The sequence below is a fragment of the Homo sapiens genome, chromosome 3, assembly GCF_000001405.40.
Source record: "Homo sapiens chromosome 3, GRCh38.p14 Primary Assembly".
In the NCBI taxonomy this organism is placed as follows: domain Eukaryota; kingdom Metazoa; phylum Chordata; class Mammalia; order Primates; family Hominidae; genus Homo; species Homo sapiens.
Genome location: NC_000003.12, coordinates 37,542,064 through 37,566,055, shown reverse-complemented (window position 1 = coordinate 37,566,055; position 23,992 = coordinate 37,542,064). Strand labels below are relative to the sequence as shown.

Below are 23,992 nucleotides of genomic sequence, written 5' to 3'. Positions count from 1 at the left end.
GAGAGACAGAGACAATAGGAGCCAGGGTCACTGCCCTCAAGGCATGTGCTCATGGTGGAACTCTTGGGCATGGACATAGTGAGATTTTTCTGAGGTCTTTATCATCTATAAGAACTATCATACTAAAATATACAACCAATTCCATTACCACTCAAGGGTCCCCAGTATTTCTGGCGAAACAGTTCCCAACGTCACTCCCAACCCAGTCAGCAAGGGTTCCACACTGGGGTCCCTAGACCAGCAGCATCACGTGGGAATGTTACAAATGCAGACTCTTAAGGTCCACCTCAGAGGTACAGAATCAGAATCTATAAGGAGTGAGCCTAGCAATCTATTTGTGATGGGGCAGGGAGAGCAATATAAGATGTATCACTTTCACCATTTTCAAGTGTCCAGTTCTATGGCATTAAGTACATTTTCATTATTCTGCAACCATCACCACCATCCACCTCCAGAACCTTTCATCTTCCGCACCTGAAATGCTGTACCCACCACCCATGATCTGTTTAAACAAGCCCTTCAGGTGATTCTATGCCACCCTAGTGTAAGAACCACTCTACAATCACATGAGGTAGGGGAACTGGCTGCATAGCATATATGGCAATTATCTTTCTGTATCTTTGACCTCCGTGGCCTTGTCTTCTTACCCATTGCTTGTCTTGAGAACACAGAGTGATCAATTATTTGCCTGACCACTAACACCACCCCAGTCTAGGACAACACTATAGGAGGCATGTGTGCTTGCATCTGCCAACCTAGCTTTTAATCAGAAGCCAAGGTAACACTCCAGGGTCCCTAAAAAAACAGGCAAGGGAAAGTAATGGACCCACAAGAAGCATAAAGTATTTGCTAAGCACCCTCTGGGGCGTTCAGGTAAATGAGCTCCATTAATCCTCATTACAATCCCATGCTGCCTCCATTTTACAGAAGAGGAAACTGGGAACCTGACATAAGAAATGTGCTTCACGTCACCAGGCTGGCCATGCAGAGGTGGAAGTCATACTCCAGTTGGATCCTCCCTCACTACAGGAGAGCCACAGGCCCTCAGGTCAGCACTTACACTATACAGGACTTCAGAAGCCCAAGATCAGGCCCATTTTGTTCAAACCCTTTAACCTCACCTCTGCTTTTAATCCCAACTCCCATTTCTACTCCTTTCCTAAGGGTTGGTGTTTCAGAATGTCTGTTAATCCCATGGGCTTCTTTTAGCCCCTTTCTCCAGGTAGGGATGGTTGTGGCTGTAGTGGTGGATGAGCCTGGCTGGGAGTTCTGCTGTGGGCTCCAAAGCTCTTCAGGGTAAGCCCCAGGGCTCAGCCCAGCATCATGTTTGCATGCACAGGCATTCAACAGGTGCCTGTTGAATTAAAGGGGCAAGTATATCCATCTTGATGATGTGTCACAATTTTTAAAAATACACCCACGTATGCAGTGGCTGCTTCCTCTGGTCATAGATTAGTAATAATTTAATGACAAGGGAGGAAGAGAAAGGATCACATTTTCTTCCATTAAGACCAGCAATCAATCAAGGCTGTTAAAAATCCAGCTAAATTTAGCATGAGATATGGGCTTTCAGAAAGTCTTCCATAGTGTAGGAGGCCACCAAAAATATAACAAAACAATTAAGTCACAACAGGACTAATGGAAGTCTATAAATGGTGAGGACCCCAGAGATCAGAACTAGGGCTTGCCATATCTTGAAACAGGTCTTATCGATGAGAAGGACCTAGAGAAAAATCTCTACATATGAAACATCACTAAGTTCTTCCATTATTAAAACATGAAGCTGAAGAAGAGTTTCTACATGAGTAGAGAGAAAAGGTATATGAAGGCATAAAGCCAAGTTATTCATAGAAAACTAATCTATATCATAGCACCATTTCCTAAACCTCAGGAGAAAAATGGTGTTCCGTGGTCAAGTACATTTAGGAAATGCCAAACAGTGCATCCTCCTTGCGTGCCTGGGCTTCTAAAGCTCCATGAAGTCCTGCAATAAAAAGCCTGCGTTAAATTCAATTATGTTCCAAAATTAATTTGAATTCAAAATTTTGTTTTGTTTTTTGACATAAAAGTCGTTACTATCCTTTGAAAAAATGCTTTGGGAAATGCTGGTATGAAGAATAATATTCTTTATGTTGTCAAGTGACAGGGATCTGGGTCTCATCAAGGAAGGACTGTCCCATAAAAATGATCAGCTGGAGCACTGCCACTGCCACACAAGATGACAAAAACACCAGGGACTGAAATAAAAAGGTATGAGAAACCAAGCCACACCCAGTGTCTGCTGCCTACCAGGCAGGACTTCAGATGGGTGTGATGGAGTTACAGGGCAGCATCCAGGACCAACCCAACATCTGAGGGGACATAAATGGCTGTAACATTGACCCAGCAAAGCCACGGCTGGAATCTGTCCTCCAGAATTAATAGTTAGGTGACCCAAGATGCTCACTGCAGCATGGTAGTGACAGGAGAAAATGAGAAAGAATTAGACATTCCATAACTGGGGATGAGTAGGAAAAGTGCTGGCACATCCAGAATGGGGAGGTGGGATTATCCACCCACGGACACCTTTGCTCAGAGTTAAGCAAAGTGTGGGCTGAGTGCCAGCCGAACCAAATCTCCTGAGAAAGCCTGGTTAAAAATGTACTGCTTCAGTCCAAGATTTCATTAGGACAATCCAAAATTTAGGGGGTTGAAGGGAGTTGCTGGCTGCTCCCTCTGAAGCCAAATTTAAAATGTAGATAGGCAATCTCATGTGACCAAGTGTTTCCAGCTGACTGTCGGGTTATATGATCTGACAGGTATTAGTCTACCCATGATAACCAACAAACAGAATTGTTTTGCACAACTGTTTGAAACTATCCTGGACAACACACAAAAATTAACTCAAAATGGATCACTAATCTAAATGTAAAAGATAACATTGTAAACTTCTAGTAGAATATCTTGAGCATATGTTCATTTTGGAAATACTCCAGCTTCTCCTAACATTCAGTGAACATTTATTGGGCAATTAGTCAATGTCAATTACTCTGCGTGGTGCTGGGGATATGGAGACAAATGAAATAGTTCCTGATGCCAAGCATCTTAAAATATTTTCTGAGTTCTTTATGGTTTTATCATTAATAAAATTATCCCAAACCTCTTTGAATTCATGTATATTTCTTGCCAGACTACCTTGGTTGTAACCTAAGTTTCTGGACTGTTTGGCTCATTAATTAAACAAGCAAGGATACATCTGCCACATGCCACATTTCTCCAACACAGCTGATGGAAAGAAGGGTATCATGCCCAGGGAAGTATAGGATGAAAGAGGAACAAATGTCAGATTCAGGAGAGCTATGGAATAAACATCACTTTTAAATCCAGACCAATATATAACTGCCAAAATGGCAGAAGAATCCAGCCAGCTATCGCTCCAAGAGGTAGGATTATACTGACCAATTTGAGGAAACTGGCTAACAGGAAAGAATGAAAACAACCACTGAACCTCCGTGCCGTGGGCATCTTCCCTACCACTGTCGCTGATGAGGAGCAAAACAAGGGTTTGAATTTCTTCTTATTTTCCCTGATCTTTCGGGGCAGCGGGGAGGGGGCATGGTTAGAAAAGTATCTAAAAGGTCAACTAAAGAGGAATAAAGGTATAAAACCAAAGAATACGGATAATTCAATAGTGGAATAAGTTCCAAAATGAACTAGTAACCCAAAGGAACTCAGGATGCTGAGTCTGGAGGAAGTAGGCAGTGGGGATGGGGACAGACAGACAGATATCTGTAGGTGCTCCGGGGCAGAAATAGGAGGGGAGTGTGTGATTACATGGAGGTAGACTCTGGTTCAGCCTAAGAAAGGGCTTTCAGGTTGCTGATGCCATCCAACGCTGGATGGGCTGCCGGACACAGCAGAGTCTGCCCACAACCAGAAGGCCAGAGCTAAGGGATGCCTGTCACGGCCCCGAGTGCCCCATTCGTGGCTCTCTGCTCTGAGAATAGGAGGAGACCCACCAGCACAACAGCTGTAAGCAGAAGAGCTGAAGGATGGCCAGTGTTGCATTTCCCAGGCATTCTATACAGGTGGGGAGCATTATTTGTGGCACAGAGGAAATTCTTATTCCCTGACTTCAACACAGGAAGCACAATAGTGCTTGCTTACTTCATCTACCTCTGCACCCTCCAAATCCCTGAGAATAATAACAGGGCTGAGAGATGAGTCCCCGGAAGGCTTGTACTCGAGCCTGTGCATGAACTGTGGGCCACCTCTCCAGGCATGACCCCAGTAATTGTTACAGTGTCATAAAAAGCCACGCGGAAAGTTTGATCAGCACAAGGTCACCAGAAAAACTGTACTAAAACGCCAGCTGAAAGCAATGATGCTGACCTTGTCAGTAGCTGAATGGCAACCCCTGTGATCCCACCAGGCTTTCTGAAATGCTGGAAAGATTTTGCAGGCCGTCATCACCATGCTAATGGAGCTTGGGCTCTAGAAACCCCAGTTTAGGAAAGTCAGAACCATGCTTCTTAACTTTTGTAAGTGTGAAAGCAACCTTTATAATACCAAAATATTTACCAGAACCTCAGGTGATAAAAGGTATACTTTTACTTATTAGTTGATTCAGGAACTGCATATGTTTTATGAATTCACTCAGGCCTCCTTACGACAATCCCAAGGTCTCCCAAGAGATTAGGAGGTTCGACACTAGACCTGCACTGTCTGATACGGTCACCACTACCCACGTGTGCCTAATGAGATCATAAAATGGGGCTAATATTCACACCAGACTTCAAAGCCCTAGTACAGGAAAGAAGGCAAATATTTCATTAACATTTTATTGATTTTATGTTGAAATAATAACATTTTGGCTATATTGGACTAAATAATATACATTTTTATGCGCTGAACTGTGTTCCCCCAAAATTCCTGTGTTAAAGTCCTAACTCCCAGTACCTCAGAATGGGGCTGTATTTGGAGACTGGGCCTTTAAAGGGGTTGATTAAATTAAAACGAGGCCCTCAGGGTGTGCCCTAATCCAATCTGACCGGAGTCCTTAGAATAGGAGGAAATGTGGACACACAGAAACCCCAGAGATATGAGTACAGAGGAAAGACCATGCGGGGACACAGGGAAAAGGCAGTCATCTACAAGCCAAGAAGAGAGGCCTCAGGAGAAACCAAACCTGTGGACACCTGATCCTGGACTTCCAACCTCCAGAACTGTGGGCAAATACATTTCTGTTCATATAAACCACAAGTCTGTGGTCTTCATTATGGCAGCTCTAGCAAACTGATATATGTTATTGAAATTAGTTTTACCTGTTTAACTTTTTCAATGTGGCTACTAGAAAAAAAAATGCTCATCATCACCGGTCATCAGAGAAATGCAAATCAAAACCACAATGAGATACCATCTCATGCCAGTTAGAATGGTGATCATTAAAAAGTCAGGAAACAACAGATGCTGGAGAGGATGTGGAGAAATAGGAACACTTTTACACTGTTGGCGGGAGTGTAAATTCGTTCAACCATTGTGGAAGACAGTGTGGCAATTCCTCAAGGACCTAGAACTAGAATCACCATTTGATCCAGCAATCCCATTACTGGGTATATACCCAAAGGATTATAAATCATGCTACTATAAAGACACATGCACACATATGTTTATTGGAGCACTCTTCACAATAGCAAAGACTTGGAACCAATCCAAATGTCCATCAATGATAGACTGGATTAAGAAAATGCGGGACATATACACCATGGAATACTATGCAGCCATAAAAAAGGATGAGTTCATGTCCTTTGCAGGGACACGGATGAAGCTGAAAACCATCATTCTCAGCAAACCATCAGAAGGACAGAAAACCAAACACTACATGTTCTCACTCATAGGTGGGACTTGAACAATGACATCACTTGGACACAGGGCAGGGAACATCACACACCGGGGCCTGTCGGGGGGTGGCGGGCTGGGGGAGGGATAGCATTAGGAGAAATACCTAATGTAAATGATGAGTTGATGGCTGCAGCAAGCCAACATGGCACATGTATACCTATGTAACAAACCTGCACGTTGTGCACATGTACCCTAGAAGTTAAAGCATAATTTTAAAAAAAAGGAAATTTACAATTACAGATGTGACCACATTATATTTCTATCAGACAGTGCTGCTCTTGAGTTTCCACTGTAGGGACAACACCTCAATTCTGGGCAGAAGGAAGGGAGGCACCACTGCCTTGGGGCCCCCCTTCACCTAAATCAAGTGTCTCACTGCTTGCCACCAGGCCTCCCAGGGAGCCAGGGAGCTGCCTTTCAACACAAGGTAATGGCTCCGTGTGGTTTTCCTTAAAGGTTACACAGCCTTGAACCATTTCCTGAAATTGTTTGAGTCATTCCCTCATTCTTTCTGACATATTTTAAGTAAGCTGGACAGGCACGTGCAACAGAGTGTATCTGAGCCTCCAAAATTACCATCTGGCAGCTCTTTGTTATTAAACAAAGAATTAACTCACAAAAGGCTAACAAGAGGCAGCAAGGACACCTGCTTGGAAATTCCAGCTCAGTGGATTTACAGAGGACTCTTCTGATGCATTTGCGTATTTTTCAGTGGGCTGAGCTTAGCACTTTAAAAGCAATGCCTCATTTTATCCTCACACCAACCCTTTGGGGTAAATATCTGACCCCTGCCCTTTCACATTAGATTTATACCCAAGGAGCGAGATTATCCAGAAAGCAATCCCTTATTAAATGACCTCAAAATGGTTATGGGGTGTATATGTGTGTGTGTGTGTGTGTGCTCACATAGTTTCATCCATCACTTTTCCAGATTCAGAAAAGTTTGATTTATTACAAGAGGGAAAAAAATCTCTCCTTTCAAGTTCAATACGTTAACTCTTTACTCATCCTTAGAAATGGACAGCAAGGAAGAAACAACGCTGGAACCTACTCCATCATTTATTTGAGAAATAAAGTGTTTTGGGGGTCCTATTCCCAGGGTGACAGTGTTGAATGCCATAAGCTCCCTGCTTTAAAATAACCTATGCTCTGGTACAGAAGATAAAACACAAATATCCAAGTAACACAAATACAGGTGGAAAGAAGGTGCTAAGACAGCTCAGATGTGAGGGAGCTCAGCACCAGAAGGCCCACAGCCCACCCTGGGGAGAACGGTGAGAGGAGGGTTAGCAGAGAGGAATCGCAGGTCAGGGTGGTGGAAAGTCAGCCCAGGGGAAAAAGCTCGGCAGCTGGCTCTGGAAATGGAGTACGTTTCACACAGGCAGAGCCAGGAGTCTGGAAGGCATGGGAATGCTTCACTTGCCAAGTCATGGTATTCAGAACGGATGCCCCAGCAGACTAGCTCCTGGGAGGCAGCGGTTATGGCTTACGAGTCTCCATCTGCCCCGGGCCCAGCACAGTGTCTGGCACACAATGAGCACTCAATAAATAGGGTGCCATCCAAATCGGAACACTTGAGAGTGAAATAGAGAACTATTAATGATTATGCTGGGACAACAGGCATAAACCAGGACTGTCCCAGGCACACCTGTACATAGGACACTACATCACTGATGTGTGTAGAAACAGAAGTGAATTGAAAATAGAGAAGCAAGGGGTGGGAGGGACAAGTGTGGGACTAGGCCAAGTAAGACAGTGCCCCGAATGCAGGCATGAAATAACCTGAGCTGTTGGAGGACAGGGCCCAGTCTTTTTAATCTTTGTTTCCCCTCCACCAGACACAGAGCTGTGTACCCAACAGGTACTCAACACATGCTGGTGGGCTGAAGGCATGGACCAGACTTCAAGCTCTTCAGAAGAGGTTTAAGTGACAGTCATTGTTTAAACTGCAGAGGCCACAGACAGGCAGGGAAGATCAAACAGAAGTGCAGAGAACCTCCAGTCCCCAGGACTCCTGCCTGCCCTGGACTCACAGACCCACATTGAGCTTTCCTCCCACCTCAGAGCACGGACACACGTGCACAGGAGCGGCTGAAAAGTGCAACCTCGTCCAAGACCAGGAGAAACCTAGCACCAATCCACCCAGAAATGGGCCATCCAGAATGGAGTTTTCTCTTTCTCAGACTAACTAGGTAATAATAATGAGAAAAGCCATCATCTTTTGCATTCAAAGTCATAGAACTAGTTGGTTGCTGGATGGGATTCAAACCCAAGACTTGGCTGCTTACCAGCTGTGAGATCTTAAATAAATTAAATGCTCTAAATCTCAGATCCCTCAATGGTAAAATGAGATTTTATTTTATTTTTATATATGTAGATATAATTCTGATACAATTTTCTGTATATAATCACATATTAACATATGTAATTGTATTCTTTATAAGGACTTCATGTACATGTAAAACATGTAGCATATAGTAAATGCTCAATAAAAGATAGCTATTATTGTTACTGTTACAACTTAATTTCTTCTTTTTATTTACATAGCCCTTAATACATTTTTTTTAAAAGAAGCAACTCTCTGTCACCCTCTTCACACAAATCTCCTGGGATGCATGTGAATAAACTATTCATCCACCATTGGACCCACCATTGTTCCAACTCCCATGAACTGGGGCTAGGGCTGTCTTGTGAAAAGACCCCCAGGCTACCTATGGATGGCTGCTTCGAAGGGGTGGGTTTCCTCAGCCTGGGCGCTTCCCTAGCTCTCTGTAGGTGACAGAATCCTTTCTGCCGCACACAGCGTACTCACTACAATCAACAAATTCCCCATCTGCAAAACAGAAGTCACCAAGGAGGCTGGTGGCCCACAGTAACCTGTCAGGGAAGAAATATAGGAGGCCACCATTTTCTCACAAAATGCAGGAAGGACCCATGCAATTTCTAAGCTGGCTTCTCGTATTCTGTTTGCCCCAAGAAAGCAGACCCAAGAAAAGGAGAAGGAAAACCACTTTAAAATTTTCTGCTTAATAAGAGCTTGTACCTCAAGAGCTTCCTGGTCTCTGAGAAGGGGAAATAGATTTCTGACATAGCTGTGTCCAAAAACACTGCAGTGAAGTTTAAAAAAACTGCTGAAAAGTCAAGCTCAGTCAGTTGACTGCTGACAACACTGTCCTTCAAGCAATAGGCAGAGAATGCAGAAGAAATTATAGCCCACACCACCCTCCTATAAGGGGCACCCCCTCCATTAACACACATCAGCGTGGGCTGGCGAGCTGCACTAGGTCACATAAAGTCAGTGCTGCTGACTCAAGCCTGGCCCCACGTTGTTGATGAGGAGCACTCGCTCTCACGGTCAGTGTGAGGAGAGAGGCATCTGGCCCCTCCGAGGCCCACTTGCTTCTGATACCTGCATCAACTGCCAGCTGGTGGCTTTGTCCGTTTTCCCCTGTAACTTTTGGTATCTATGTCTTCGAGCTCCTTGCTTTGTGGTCTATGGACCAGCAGCACCAGCGTCACCAGGGAGCTTGCTAGAAATTCACCTCAGATCTGCTGTATCAGGATCTGCATTGAACAAGGTCCCAGGTTCTTCGTGTGCACGCTAACGTGAGGAGTCCTTGTCAACCAGCCCGTGAAGATGACTGAGAGGCTCTGGCTTGCTCTGGTCCAGAGAGAAAGAACGTGCCAGCTCCGAGAGCTGCCTTACCATTTGCCCTCTTCTCTTCCCACATTTCTTATTTGCTCCATACTTTCTATTTTCTTCTCACCATCTGCTTCTAATCATTTTTTAATCCCCCAAAAAACTATGAAACGAGTCTTGACCCCTTCCAAATGCAGAGGCAGTTAGAAAGAGGAAAAGATTTGCAGGGTAGAGCAGAAGGAAAAAGGGGCCCAGTGTTTACCAGACCCCTACTAAGAAGTCAGTATTCTGCTCCCCATTTCAGCTGAGGACACTGAAGCTCAGCAGTAAAGGTGAAGCAACTTGCCTGAGACCATGTGGTTGATCAGAGCAAGACCTGGTCCACCCTGGCCTGGCCCAGCCCCTGCCATGCTAAGCAGGAAGAGTGCTTCAGTTCATGTGCTTCACACATGTTGAGTTGAAAGGGAATCTTTCCACCCAGCACTAGCAAGAGCATCAGGAAGGAGGGCTTTTCTACGCTAAAAGGCAATATTGTAATATGTCCCAAACCTAAAATGCCTTCCCTTTCCCACTGAGCAATACCACTTCCATCCTCTGCACTGCCACCTTTTATCTAGTTCTATGCCACTGAAAACAGAAAACATCACATCCAAGATGGTGACATCCTTTGAAGGACCCACTCAACTTGGTGAACCATCCAACCTTCTTCTGTTCTGTTTCCCCCATTGTATATGGGGCCTGTATGTGGATATAAACATTTGTGTGTGATTGTTCCAAAACACTAGAGGGAGAGATTATGTTCCATGGTACACTTGCAACTCAGGTTTTAATCAGCATGTCTAAGTACAACGTGAAACAGTCAATGTGACCTCAATCTATTATTTGTATTTCCATTTGGCTGTGTGGCTTGATCTGTGTGACTAGTGCCTTGGGAGGCTCCATGCTGTACTGTGGCAGGAGCTGTGAGTTGTCTGTCCAGTGTCTGTCCCTCTCCTTCTTAAAAATCAAACTTCAATATCTGCACTGTCCAACATGGTAGCCACTAGCCACATGTGTTATTTCAGTTTGAATTTATATTAATTAAAAGTATAGAAAAGTAAAAAGTCAATGCCTTATTGGCACTAGCCACATTTTAAGTGCTCACAGTCATATGTGGTCACTGGCCACCATATTGGACAGTGCTGATACGGAACATTTCCTTCATCACAGAAAGTTCTGCTGGAGAGCAAAACTCTATAGTGATAGGATTTATAAGATGTCTAGCTGGTACTTAGACATCTTCCAACCTCTTTTAAAATATGGATGGTCAATGCGTTATAAGCAGAAGTCACTGGAGGCTCTTTACAGGGGCCTCAGACCAGATTATAAAGAGCCCCTTTGCATGTCCCACTTCTTCCTGCATGAAAAACACATACAATGGCTGGAGCCCCAGAGCCATTTTAGGGGTAGGAGGAAAAGATGCTCTTAGTGTTGGAGTGTCCACAGCTCAGCCCTTGGTCCCCCTCTCTTCTCTATCTCCCCTCACACCCTGGGTGATCTCATCAAATCTCCTGGCATTAAATACCATCTGTCTGCTGGCGACTCCCAAATTGATACTTCTTACTCAGACTACTACTCAAACTGAAGACTCATACATACGCATACACACTTAAACATCTACCAGTGTGTCTAAAAACAAACTCCAGATCTTCCCCCTTTCAACCTGCTCACCTGCACCTTCCGTTGAAAACACCACCAGTGACAACTCCATCCTTTTAGGTACTCAGGCTGAAAAGCTTGGAGTGACCCTTGATATCTTATTCCCTCACAACTGACAATCAAACCCTCAGGAAATGCTGTAGGATCCCCCTTCAAAATGCACGCAGAATTTGACCACTTCTCACAATGTTACCACTATGGCCCCAGTGGAGCCACCCTCTTCCCTGGGTAACGCTCAGTCTCCTAACCCCGTTCCTGCTGCTCTACCGCCTCCTACAGGCCTTCCCAACATAGCCGCCAGCAGGGGCCTGTAAAAATGGAAGGCAGGCCAGGTCACCACCCTGCCCAGATCCCTCACACACTCCCATCCCCCTCTGAGTAAAGGCAAATCCTTCCCAAGGCCTAGGAAGCCCAAGATGACCCGCTCACAACCATCACTGCCACTCTGACCTCTTTGCCCACACTGGTCTCCCTGCTCCTCCTCAGACACACCAGACACTCAGACACTGGTCTGAGCCCTCCTCCAGGAACCCGCTGTGCTAACTCCCCAGCCTCCTTCCATGCTTTGCTCAAATCACACCTCGTCAGTGAGGTCACCCTGACCCCCATAACCCCATGCCTGCACTCCCAAACCCGCTTCACTGGGCTCTATTTTCTTTCTTTTTTTCCATAGCCTCATCGCCTTCTAATGCACCTTAATTTTCTTCTTATTATATCTATTGTCTGTCTCCCCCTACTGGGATATAAACTCCCAGGGGGACAAGGATCCTTGTCTCTTCACAGCAGAGCTGAGGGCCCCCCAGCCTACGGCATAATAGGTATGCAATGCACATTTCCTGAATAAGTGAAAGGTCAGAGAACATCCTCGAGTCACTGAACCAACATCAGCAACTTCTCTTCCTCTAGAAGAGAGAGAAATTATCTTGATGTGCTTAAGCCCCTGTCCTGGGGTCTCAATTCCTGCAAGCTGAGTGGAATTCCTGTCTGATACCTCTGTGAAGACCAAAGATATTATGTTTTATTCTCAGACAGCAGTAAGAACTGGGAACTCCCTGCAGACACCATGGTACTCAAAGCGCTACTAATGACCCAAATGATCACCTTCCCCAGAGTTGAAACTCCCCTGTGCTCCCAGGAGCAGAGGAGAGAGGTGGTGAGCAAGCTATCGTACTTTCATAATCACCTCTCTCAATGTCTAAAAGCTCCCTTTTGGGGATGGCAACTAACTTTGGAAAACCACTTTAAAGGAGGAGTTAAAAATACATACCTTCAGTGATGTTGGATGTATATGTTTTTAAATATATAGGACACAAGTATTCTGTGGTATTCCTGCAGAAAATATACATCCTGAATCTAATCATGATGAAACAGACAAACTGACCTGTACTCTTCAAAAATGTCAAGGACATGAAGGAGCAAGGCTGAGTGACTTTTCCAGACTAAAGAGATGTGACAGCCAAATGCAATAGTGCGGGATTTTCTTTTGCTACCAAGGACATGAAGATAACTGGTGATATTTGAGTGAGTTCTGCAGATAAGCTAACAGTAATGTATCACTTAATTTCCTTATTTCAATAATTGTGCTATGGTTACGTAAAAGAATGTCCTTGTTCTCAGGAAATATCCCTGATGTTAGGGATAAGGGGGCATCGCGTCTCCGACTTACTCTCAAACAGGTAAGAAGTACGAATAGATAGAAAATTACAAAGCAAATGACATTTAGGGAATCTGGGTGAAGAATTTACGGTATTTCTTTGTGCTATCCTAATGACTTTTTTGTAAGACTGCTATTATTTCAAAATAAAGATTTTTTTTTTTTTTTTTAGATGGAGTCTTGCTCGGTCTCCTAGGCTGGAGTGCAGTGGCACAATCTTGGCTCACTGCAACCTCCGCCTACCAGATTCAAACAATTCTCCTGTCTCAGCCTCCAGAGTAGCTGGGATTACAGGCACCCACCACCATGCCCAGCTAATTTTTGTAATTTTAGTAGAAACGGGGTTTCACCATGTTGGCCAGGCTGGTCTTGAACTCCCGACCTCAGATGGTCTGCCTGCCTCAGCATCCCAAAGTGCTGGGATTACAGGCGTGAGCCACCACACCTGGCCCAAAATAAAAATGTTTTATGCGAAAAACGTGTGTGTGTGTAACATACACAGAGAGCTGGAGTACATGCATGCACACACGCATACGCCCAAGAGAGAAAGAGAGCGCTATTTGTCAAAAGTTTGCTCAAGTCCAATACTTCCATAATTTTTTACGCCTACCCACTTAACTTCAGGCCAATCAAATATTTACTGAGAAAATGACTCTCTCATTAAAGAGTCTAAAAATATTCCCCTTCCAAAATGAGAAGAAAAGAGGCCATGATATTAATACTAATACGTTGACTAAAAATAATGATTTTCTCTAACAATATAGGCATGAATAAAATCTATACTTTTATAAAATAAGAAATAAATAATAATTTGCTGGTACAACCACAGAATATGTTAGTCCCCTTATCCCACGCAATGAGGCTTCAGGGGCCAGGCTTCCTTTCTTTACAAGGGGTCATCTAAAACAGACTTAAGCATACATGACAGAGGAATAAGTGTGACAGTCTGAGACATGACGGGCCCTCAGAAAACCTTAGCTGGCTCCGAATCTTTCCTCAAAACAGGAATTCTCTGCACCGACGCGTCACTGCCACCTTTACCCAGATCCAGCTGTAGCGATCTGCTTTTGCATCTGTGTCCTATCTTATTGTGACACACAGCACGAAGGGAAGCTGGCTCCCCCACTTCCCCTGCTTGTGATTCCCACCCAAACACGACTTTCATTATCAGTCTTGCCTTGAAAGCCACTCACTCCAGCCTCTGCAGCCAGCCCTGGATGCCCAGAAAGTTGGCCCATGGTCTTATGCCTTCACGAAAACATAGTGTGGCTGTGTCCACACGGCTCATCCGTCTTCATTCAGAGGCCCTCTTGGGCCTGTCACTTGGATGTGTCTCGGACACCAAAGCTCTGTGTTGGAGGATAGAGATGGCAAGGGCTTTTTCCACATCTGGAGTCTGTATGTCCGGGAGGTGGGGAGGTCTGGCGAGGCAGCTCTTTGGGGTAGACTGAGGGACCAGCTACTACTCAAAGAGTGATTCCAAGGCCTGTTGCTCCTTGAGCCATGTGGATCCCACTTATTGGAACAGAGAATTCTCCAAATGACCTTAGGAATGGATGCCGTGGGAATGGGTGGAGAAGACAAAGGAAAGAATAGTGACACAATTTGGGCCACCTTGATATGTTATTTCTGATTAAAGCAATGGATAAGAAAAGGGCAGGACCAGCCCTTAGGTCTCACATGATCAAGGCACAAAGCAAGAAAACCAGATTGTTCACAGCTAGTTCACTCTGTACTAATTAAGACTAAATTCAGTTGCAGGAGGTAGGAAAACTTCCAGAGCTTAAACAGTCCTGTGGGAGGTAATAACCCCCAGTCCCCTCCAAGCAAGCCCAACAGTCAGCAATTCATGCGTCTTCAGAGTACAGAGAGGCTGCTGTGCATCTTCAGAGTGCAGAGGGGCTGGCGAACAGAATCCCAAATGTGCACGGAATGAGGGTGAAAAATAAGATCTCAATAAATTTAAATGAAATCTTTTCCATTGTTTTAAATGGAAACAATTACACTATCCAATAAATCCAGTCAAAATACAGAGTACCTCTGAACCAATGTACAAACATAAAAGCTGTCGTCTGGTGGTTTAACTGACCCCACAAATTTACTTTCCTATTATTCATCAACTTAAAAAGCCACAGGAAACAAGAAAGAAAAAAGACTCTGATAATCAAACATCTGTGTATCAGGCATGACTTGAGTGATATGACCAACTTATTAACAAACATGCTAGAAGCCCAATACTCACCAGTATGCGATATACCCATGGAACAAACAAGCACCTGTACCTTGTGAATCTAAAATTAAAAACAACAATAACAACAAAAAAACCCTCAACATATTCAGTTGTGTGCTGGAGCTTGCTGCAGTGGGTTTCCAAAAGCCAACTGTTAAATTTTCAGAAAGTTTATGAGCCAGGGTTGTTAAACACAGCCATTATTAAAAGTTAAATTGAATAAACTTAAAAATAAGTAAATTATATTAAGATAAATGTAATAAATACTCAACACTCATAACTTCCTAATTATTTTACCATACTTTACTATCATCTATGCTCTTAAAGATATTTAGAGCTATTGGAAATACTAAACAACTGTGTGCTATTGTGCATCTCTTCCTAACTCCACATTCAGTGATGTCTCATTGGTAGCTTGAAATCAGACATGATAAGAATATTTACACCAGGGAAATTTGCAAAATGCTACAAAAGTCATGTCCCCTCTTTCCAAGAGCTAGTTGTTAAACATTAGCAGCACATCACTGCTCTAGAACATAAACCCCCAAAAGCTGTCACCTCTGGGGGCCATATGCTTAACACAGAGAAGGTCCCAGGACTCTATTATGAAGAGGCAGTGAAGTCTCTCACTAGTTCATAGCCTGAGTCAGGTTACTTAACCTCTCTTTCTTCATGTAAAGCCTGTAGAAGAGTATCTGGCATATAATAAGTACTAGTTACTAATAGTTCTAGCTTGTATTTATGAGGGGTGTTACAATGTAGTGGTTTAAACCCAAGTCTTAGGAGCCAGACTTGCGGGTTTAAATCCTACCTCTGCTACTTGTCAACTGTAAGGTTGTGAGCAAGTCCCTTCACTCTTCTATGCCTTGTCTTTGAAACAGTAAGATGAGGATAAAAACAGTAACTATCTCACATGTAGTGACTCACAGTAACCAGCACATACTAAATGCTCGATTAGTGTTAGCTGCTTTTATCGCTATTACCTGAATATTATGGGAATTCTTTTAAAATCATTTTCAAAAGGAGTTTAATTACTACATTCTTTAATACTAATTCCTGTATTATTATACCTCACTTTTCCCCAAACACACTATTATCTACTAGAGAGGATTGCAGAGAAATCTTGCTGCTTCCAAAATTTGAATTAACTCCTAGAGTAAAAATGGACCATGATAAAAGTGAATAAACAAACCATGGAAGAAATTTCAAAACAGGAATGACTAGAAGGTGATTACTTTGAAGGGAATCATGCTTATAATGAATATCTAAGTTCAAGGTTTGAGGCAGAAGGGATCTTTATAATCACATCTCAAATATAAAGACAAAACCAATAAAACAGAACACATTATCATGTGTGACTTCAAAGAATACCAGTGTTAAAAGGGCATCAACAGTATATATTAATAGATGAACCCAGTGTAAATGAATAACTGTAAATAGAAAGTCACCTCTTAAAATAAAAATTTTACCCATAGCAATTGCTACAAACTGCATCTCACATACTGTACAAATAAGCTTACGATAACCACTGAAGTGTCAATGCTGTGACCATACTTACATATTTAAATCAGCTCCATTTCAAAAAAGGACTTAAGGCGGGCAAAGCCTTTGGATTAGAATTTTTGTGCCTTCCTTTGCTAATCACAATGTCCTCTGTGGCAAGTGTCCAAATGCAGAAGATTAAGAGCCCTTCATTGCACCCAAGAAATAAATCAATGGCCAAACAGTGCTCATCGGAGATATCAGCTCCCATGCTGAACATTCACCACACCCTTTCCCTTCTTGATTCATCCCCAGTTTGTTCTCCAGCTATGCACAACATGGCCTCCCAGAGGAGATGGTCAAGGCAACCCACACTCAGTGAGCTGACTTCCAGCGTGGTCTCCAAAGCCCAGCTTCCCGGTTCCTTAGTGCCATCTGTGTGAGCAGAGCATATCGCATGAGCAGCGGCTTCACACCTGAGCTGGATGATGAAGGTAGTTTCCCACACATCAGTTCTATGCATCCCAACCTTCCCCTCTTTTCTTGCCCTAGTTTCCAGCACCCCTTACCAAACATTCAGGCCATCTATGCTACCTACAGACCAGGAGAGCCTGCCAAGGGCACAAAGCCAACTGCAGGAATCAAGAAAAATCTCCCATTTTCCTTGGGCACCCTATAGCTGAGAGGCTTGTCCTCTGTAGGACATATGTCCAAGGTCACCTTAGAGAGCACCAGGGCCCCTCCATGCTGCCCTCTCAGGGGTCCTCAGCCAGGATACTATGGATCTAGGGGAGAGAAGAGGAGCCTCTTCTGGAGAAGCAAACTAAGATAACTAGTCTACAAGCATCAGATCAGGTTAGTCTGGAACTGACATATAGAAGACCACCTGGACAGGTTAAATAAATCAAGGAATAGTGAAAAAGAACTACTGAAAAAGAACAGGAAAGCTCTATATGCACCAATATGGAACAATCTCCACGAAACTTTTTTTAACAAAATAAGTTTGATTGAGATATAATTTACATACATAACATTCACTAATTTTAGGTGTGCACTCTGTTAAGTTTTAATAAATGCAACCATACAACCGCTACAACCACGATCTTAGAATATGTTCATCGCCCCAGAAAGTTGTCTCATCCCTCTTTGAAGTCAATCATCATCAGCCCTTCCCCCAAACCCTGGCCGCTGAAAACCACCAATCTGCTTTCTCCTTAGTTGGCCTTTTCCAGAACGTCATATAAATGAATCATCCAGTAGGTAGCCTTTTGTGTCTGGCTTCATTTACTCAGTTTAATGCTTTCAAAAGTCATTCATGTTATTGTGTGTATCATAATAACATAATATTGTTATTGCTGAGTTGTATTTCATCTGGTACAGCTAGATTTTGTGCGATTTGCCAAAATCTGTTCCTCCATTCTGCTGTTGGATGTTTTAAAAGAAAAAGTAAGTTTACTACAGTGTGCACACAGTATACTACTATTTGCATAAAATAAAAGGAGGTACACACACAGATTTCTATATTTATTGACAAGCTTTTGAAAGACACGTTAAGAAAATGGAACTGTGGTTGCCTTTGGGAGAAAAATAGGATAGCTGAAAGACATCCTTTCTTTGACAACTTTTATAACCATTTAAAAATTTTAACTATACACACTACTGATTCAAAAAATAAACAAATTTTAAAAGTTTTCAGAAGACCTCATATCTAAGGTTGGCGTCCCCTTTTGCCAAACCCTGCAACTGTTTTTTTCTTAGCTATTTCTTTGATTTCTCAAGATGACCCGGAGATTTAGCATGTTATTTTCCAGATAAAGAAGAAACTTTTGCTGTTTTTCTTTCTCCTCTTTCTCAGAGTTCTTATTAACTCCAACTTAATCTCCCTTTCTTAACTATCTGTTTCTTAAACAAGAAAAAAAAAAAGTTTTGATCACCTCTGAAAACCAGCATCCAACACTCTAAACCCACAGCATGTAATGTGATTGAAGCCATGGTCCCAAGGCATTTTGTTGGATATGAAAATGGAAACAGGCCAAAACACCTGGGCAGATCCCAGGGTGTGATCTCTCAGGAGACCTGGTGGCCAGGGTGATGTCCCACCCTTCGCCAGGCCAGGATGAGCATCTGCCCACAAAAGCAAGGAAGGAGCTGCAGCCACTTAGGTTTCAAAGTTCCTTGAAAAATCCTTCAGGAACATAGAAGAACAATCTTATGAACATCTGCAGCTTCTCAGAAAAGCTGATGTGCATATTCCCTCGTCTAGTGTAGATTGTTTTGTTTTGTTTTTAACAATAATACCGTTATTGGCCTTCTTGACAGTGTCTGACACATGGTTCTGTTCAAAAAAAGTTCCCTAAATGCCTCTAGAGGGTGTCACTGATCCTCACAGTAGGGAATGACATCACTGCCCCTGCACTCTGCCTGGGCTTCTCTGCCATCCCTGCATCAGACTCAGAACTGTTGCCATCGTTTCCCTGGTCCTGAAGAGCCTGCTTATTTGCCTGTCATGCATAGGTATTTGATCTCACAAAAGGCCTGTGCTCTCAAGGTATTGTACAGGATTAGAGGATGAGCACAGCTGTCATCCAGGTAAGAACACATAAACCAGAAACAGATGGAGTAACAACAGGACACCTGCATTTATTCTTTGGCACACACCATGCATCCCAAATTCTCTTCTCCATCATCTCAAGCCATCACTTCCCAGCAGTCAGTCCAGACAGAGGCAAGCAGGCCCCACTCCATATCAGAAGCCTTTGTGACCCCACACTCCAGCTAACCCAATTAGTCACTCCAACAAGGTTCTGCCTGACAAGTATCCCCAAAGCAGGAGTCAGGCAGCATGGAACAAGCTCCAAGAAGTCAGGAAGATGACAGTGGCATCCCCAGGGCCTAGGACAGTAGCTGCCACTGAGGATGTCCAAAACCTGTGGACTGAGCCTTGAACAACAGCAAGCCTTCAGCAGGCAGGATGGGGCAAGGCACATCTGATCAAAGCAGAGCATGGCCAGGGCTTCCCAGACTGGGCCCACAAGGTGGATTTCCATGGCACATAGGCATGACTCTGTAAAACAACTCTCATATTTGAAAAGTTGTTCCCAGTCAATTCCCCTGCAGTCCTTCTGGTTGCATCAGGAAGAAAGTTCCAGCGCGGTGCTAGTATGTCTTTAAGCCTTCCCTAGAACTTGATCATTTCCCTTTCTAACACATGAATGGAGTGGGCGCTTTATCAGCAACTTTGACAAACAATGAAATCCAGCTAGAATTCTAGGACACTGTTGTGTCTTCAATATATTTATTTTTACAGTTACTTTCTGTTTTGGGGACATGTTAGATGGTTTTCTGCTTATAGAAAGGTACAAAGTTTCTGTTTTAAATTATTTTATTTGAGACCAAAAGTTGGCTGATTTAAAGAGAAAAATATGAAAGAAAATATCACAGGCAGTATGAGTTTAAGACCAAAAAAATGTAAAAATCATGCAGGTGGTAGATGGTTCTACATGAATATGACACAAACCGGGCCTCTGACTTCTGTGAGCATAAGAACCAAGGCAAAGAAGTGTAAGGAGCAGGTTCCAGGAGGAAAGGGGCAGGTCATGACAAGAGCTGGGGCCCAGGGGATGTGGTGGCAGAAGATGGGTCTAGAAAGGTAAGGTCAGGCAGGGCATGGAGAGCCCGATGCTGAGGGGAGGTGTTGGGCTTTCGCCTGTGACTGTGAGATCCACCAGAGGCCTCCAGCCTGACTGGCTAGTGGGAGGGGCCCCATCCCCAAAACTGGGCTGGTCTCGGGGAAGAGGGAAGATAAGCCGGGGTGTGTGAACTCTGAGGCAGAGAAGCCAAGGAAGTGGCTGGAGCTGCCTCAGCTCTGCTGACCACAGTGAGGCCGTGAGAAAGTACCTGCCCTCCCCTCAGGAGGATGTGCCTTATCACAAAATCCTATACCCTCCGGAGGTGCCCTCCAATACGGTGAATGGAACAAAGTCTGGTACAAGACAGTTAGCCTGGAAAACAGGTGTTAGCCTGTGCGGTCTTCCATGATAAAGTCACTTATCACCATATATGGCAAGAAAACTTCCAGGGAAAAGGAGAGGGAGAAAAAAAAAGATTGGAATAGGCTTAAAGAAAAAAAGAAAAAAATACCTAAAGATAGCCTAAACAAAGCAGGCCCAGCCCCTCATGCTGGCCCCACTGTCTGCTAGCCATATGGTGTGTGATAAGCCAGAATGCTTTTATTTATCTTCTTTGATTTGTCCATAAAGCCGAGAGCCAGCTCCACTGAGAAAGCTCCACTTGCAGTAGAGACTGCATCCTGCTCTTGACCCCTGACCAACACCCCCCAGGCCCCAGTTCCTGCTCCAGGAGGTGGCCCGGCTGCCACTCCCCTTCCCCTCATCCTTGCTTCCTGCCTCAGCTTCCATAGCTGTGTTCCCACAGCCAGTAAGCCGGGGCGGTGCCTGCTGCCTCCTCTGTGGACAGCTAGCTAGGCCATTAGCACTCATCCTACGGGTGCACTCTGCCATTTGCCCAGTCCTCTGCTACAGCCCAGACAGTAACTGCCAGAAATAAACATTCTCATGGTTATAAAGTATGGCTATAAAGTATCAGCCACCTTGAGTGTACCTTGGCAACAATGTTGCCTCTTGAACCATAAAGGTCTCAGAGACATGTGTCTATCTGGTGTATTTCTCCGCTCCCACCTCCTTGCATGAGAAAATGGCCAAGCAACCACTGTATCCAAATGACTCTAGGTCCCAATTCACTGAAGCAGGCCTGCTCTTTTGCTCTCCCTAGAATGACCAAAATAATCACGTCAAGGTCTGTGCTGGATCTGCACTCGAGAGCCCTGAGCTCAGCCTCCAAACTCTTCTAACCATCATCTCAATCTCTCTTCTTGGCAGCCAGGTTTTGCTTGAGTGAAGAAATGCCACTTGTTGGGTAGAGGAAGATCAGCAGAGTTGAATCTGCCAACAGGATGCCAAGTTAAATTTAAATTTCAGATAAACAGCAAAATGTTTTTAGTATAAGTATATCCCATGCAATATTTGGGACACACTCATACTAAAAAATTATTCATTGGTGATCTGAAATTCAGATTTAATTAGGAGTTCTATAGTTTTATTTGCTAAGTCTGGCAACCCTAGATATCAGAAAGTAGCAGGACCAACCCCTTGCGCAACCCTGATCCTTCCCAGTAACCCTCAGGGCCACCATAGAAACAGCCCTTCCTCTGGCCTGCACTTCACTATTGCCACTCTACGTGGCATCTCATAGCCAGTACCCTTGGTAACTAGGAACAAAGGATAACTTCTCAGCCAAAGCAAGAAGCTGCAAAGAAACCTAAAGGAAAGGTTTTGTGAACAGACCTAGCAAGAAGAGGCCCGAGAGAAGATGCCCTGTCCCCAGCAGGTATAAAAACACCAATCACAGGCATTCAAAGGCCTGACAGTGTTTGCATACGAGCCTGTACTGCGCAGCCTCACACCCCACCAAAGGCACCAACAAGCCAATGTAATCTAAGACTGACGGGGCGGGGCTGTATGGCTTAACAGGCACAGGAGCAGCTTTATAAATGGCCAGCATCCCAAGCCCTCAGGCAGCTGGTCTGGGCAGGCCCCTGCAGGAGTCCTGGCAGAAGACACAGCCCAGCCCCACTGAGAAGCATCTGAGGGGCATGGACTCATGGGCTCTGGGCCATGGGTGTGTGGGGCATCTCTCTATACACAGCCCTGAAGCATCTAGAAGCAGCTGTTATTCTTCTGCTCTGGCACTAACAGGAGGACACTTCATCTCTAATCTGCAGACTTTTCAAACTATCAGTCAGAAATCCAGTGGCTAATAAACAATATTGGGTTGAGCTATATGAAATTTCCATTTTTGTAAGTCAAAAAGAATATTGGCAATTATATACAGCCCAACCAAATAATAATAATTTGGTTGCTTTCTATTTATCAGACACCATTCAAGGTCCTTTAAGTAAATTCATTGTGTAATGTTTAATCCTGATGACCACCTTTCAAGGTAAGGACTACTGTGTCCATTTTAGAGATGCAGAGACTGAGACAGGGAGAGGTCACAATTATGTGTCCAGCTGGATACACACTGGATCTATGTGTCTCCAAAACCCATGCTCATTCCACCCACCATGTGGCCTGGATTAAGTGCATTCTTCCACCTCCTCCGCTCTCTGACCCTGCCCATGGGTCAGTGTCTGGCCATTCCTGCAGCATCAGGCACTGCCAGGTCTTCCACCCTGCCAGCGCCTGCTGCAAGGGCCACTCTGTAGCTAATCAAAGCCTGGCCTCCTGAATTAGCAGCAAAGTGTATTTAACAAACAATTTCAAGAGGAGAAAAACATTTGCAAGTTTATTTAGAGTGCGAGGGGAAAGGTTGCCAAAAAATGCATCCTAAAATAAATAGAAAGTAGTCAAGGGGGAAGAATCTAGTCCAACCAGTTTTAAAATGCCTTAACTGTGACCATGAGCTAATTTGTAGTAGACCACTGAGAAAGGCATCAGGTGCAGTGTGATCCAGCATCACTGCAGACCCAGAGGCACATGCTTCCAAGGCTCTCCTCTGAAAAGGCTACCAAGCCTCATAGAGGGGAGAGGATGAGAAACCTCTCAAAAGAACAAGTCAAAGCCAGGGACCATCACTGGTCTCCTAGACCACCACGACCCCCCTTAAAGGCTGAAATCAACACAGTAAGATAAATAAAAGGGCTGTCAGAGGCCAACTTTAAAAGAAAAGAAGAAATGGATATGCTCCTCCCTGTGAAATAAAATTTTGGAAGAGCACACATAATACATAATAAAAATAGTTTCCACCAGCTCCAAGTGAACATCTGCAGAGATCAAAGTTTGAGGATAAAAAGGAGGAGAGGACTGACCTTCACATGGGCCACATAGTGACGACACGTCTCCTCCATGTAAGTCAGCTGCAGCTTCTCTGTGACCTGACCCATGGTCTCTCCCAGCAGCACAAAGTAGACCCTGGGCATCTGGCCCTTCTCCTTTTTGGCCACGTCAGCCATCAGAACATAATTCAGGCCTGCCAATAAATGAGAGGTCAAAATGTCAGAAAGGACCGACACACTGTGATGAGGCCACCTCTTTTCCTTGTCACAGGATCACATGCACATCTCATATGATACCTACCCTTCCATGGCAGGAGACTGCAGCCCCAAGCAGAGACTTGCTCAGAAAGCAGCACACAGCCAGGGTGCTCAAAGAATCGAGAGAGAAGCATGATGTCCTCTGCCTTTCTAATGACTCTCCTTGTGTCATACTTCACGGCTCTCCCTGATTTAAACCTCATGCCATCATGAGGTATCAACTGAGCCAGCAATATGCCCATTAACAAGGTGTACCCAACACAGGTTAGTGTCCTGACAAGCAAAACATCATGACAA

The 23,992-nt window shown here is 44.2% G+C and overlaps 1 protein-coding gene across 1 annotated transcript in view; it reads right to left on the bottom strand.

Annotated features, from left to right (window-relative positions):
* Positions 1-23,992, bottom strand: part of ITGA9 (integrin subunit alpha 9) — a 371,367-nt gene that overhangs the window by 257,452 nt on the left and 89,923 nt on the right. The window contains exon 15 of the mRNA NM_002207.3: positions 23,471-23,631. Within this exon, the coding sequence (NP_002198.2) occupies positions 23,471-23,631 (161 nt within the window). The remainder of the gene's footprint in view (positions 1-23,470; positions 23,632-23,992) is intronic.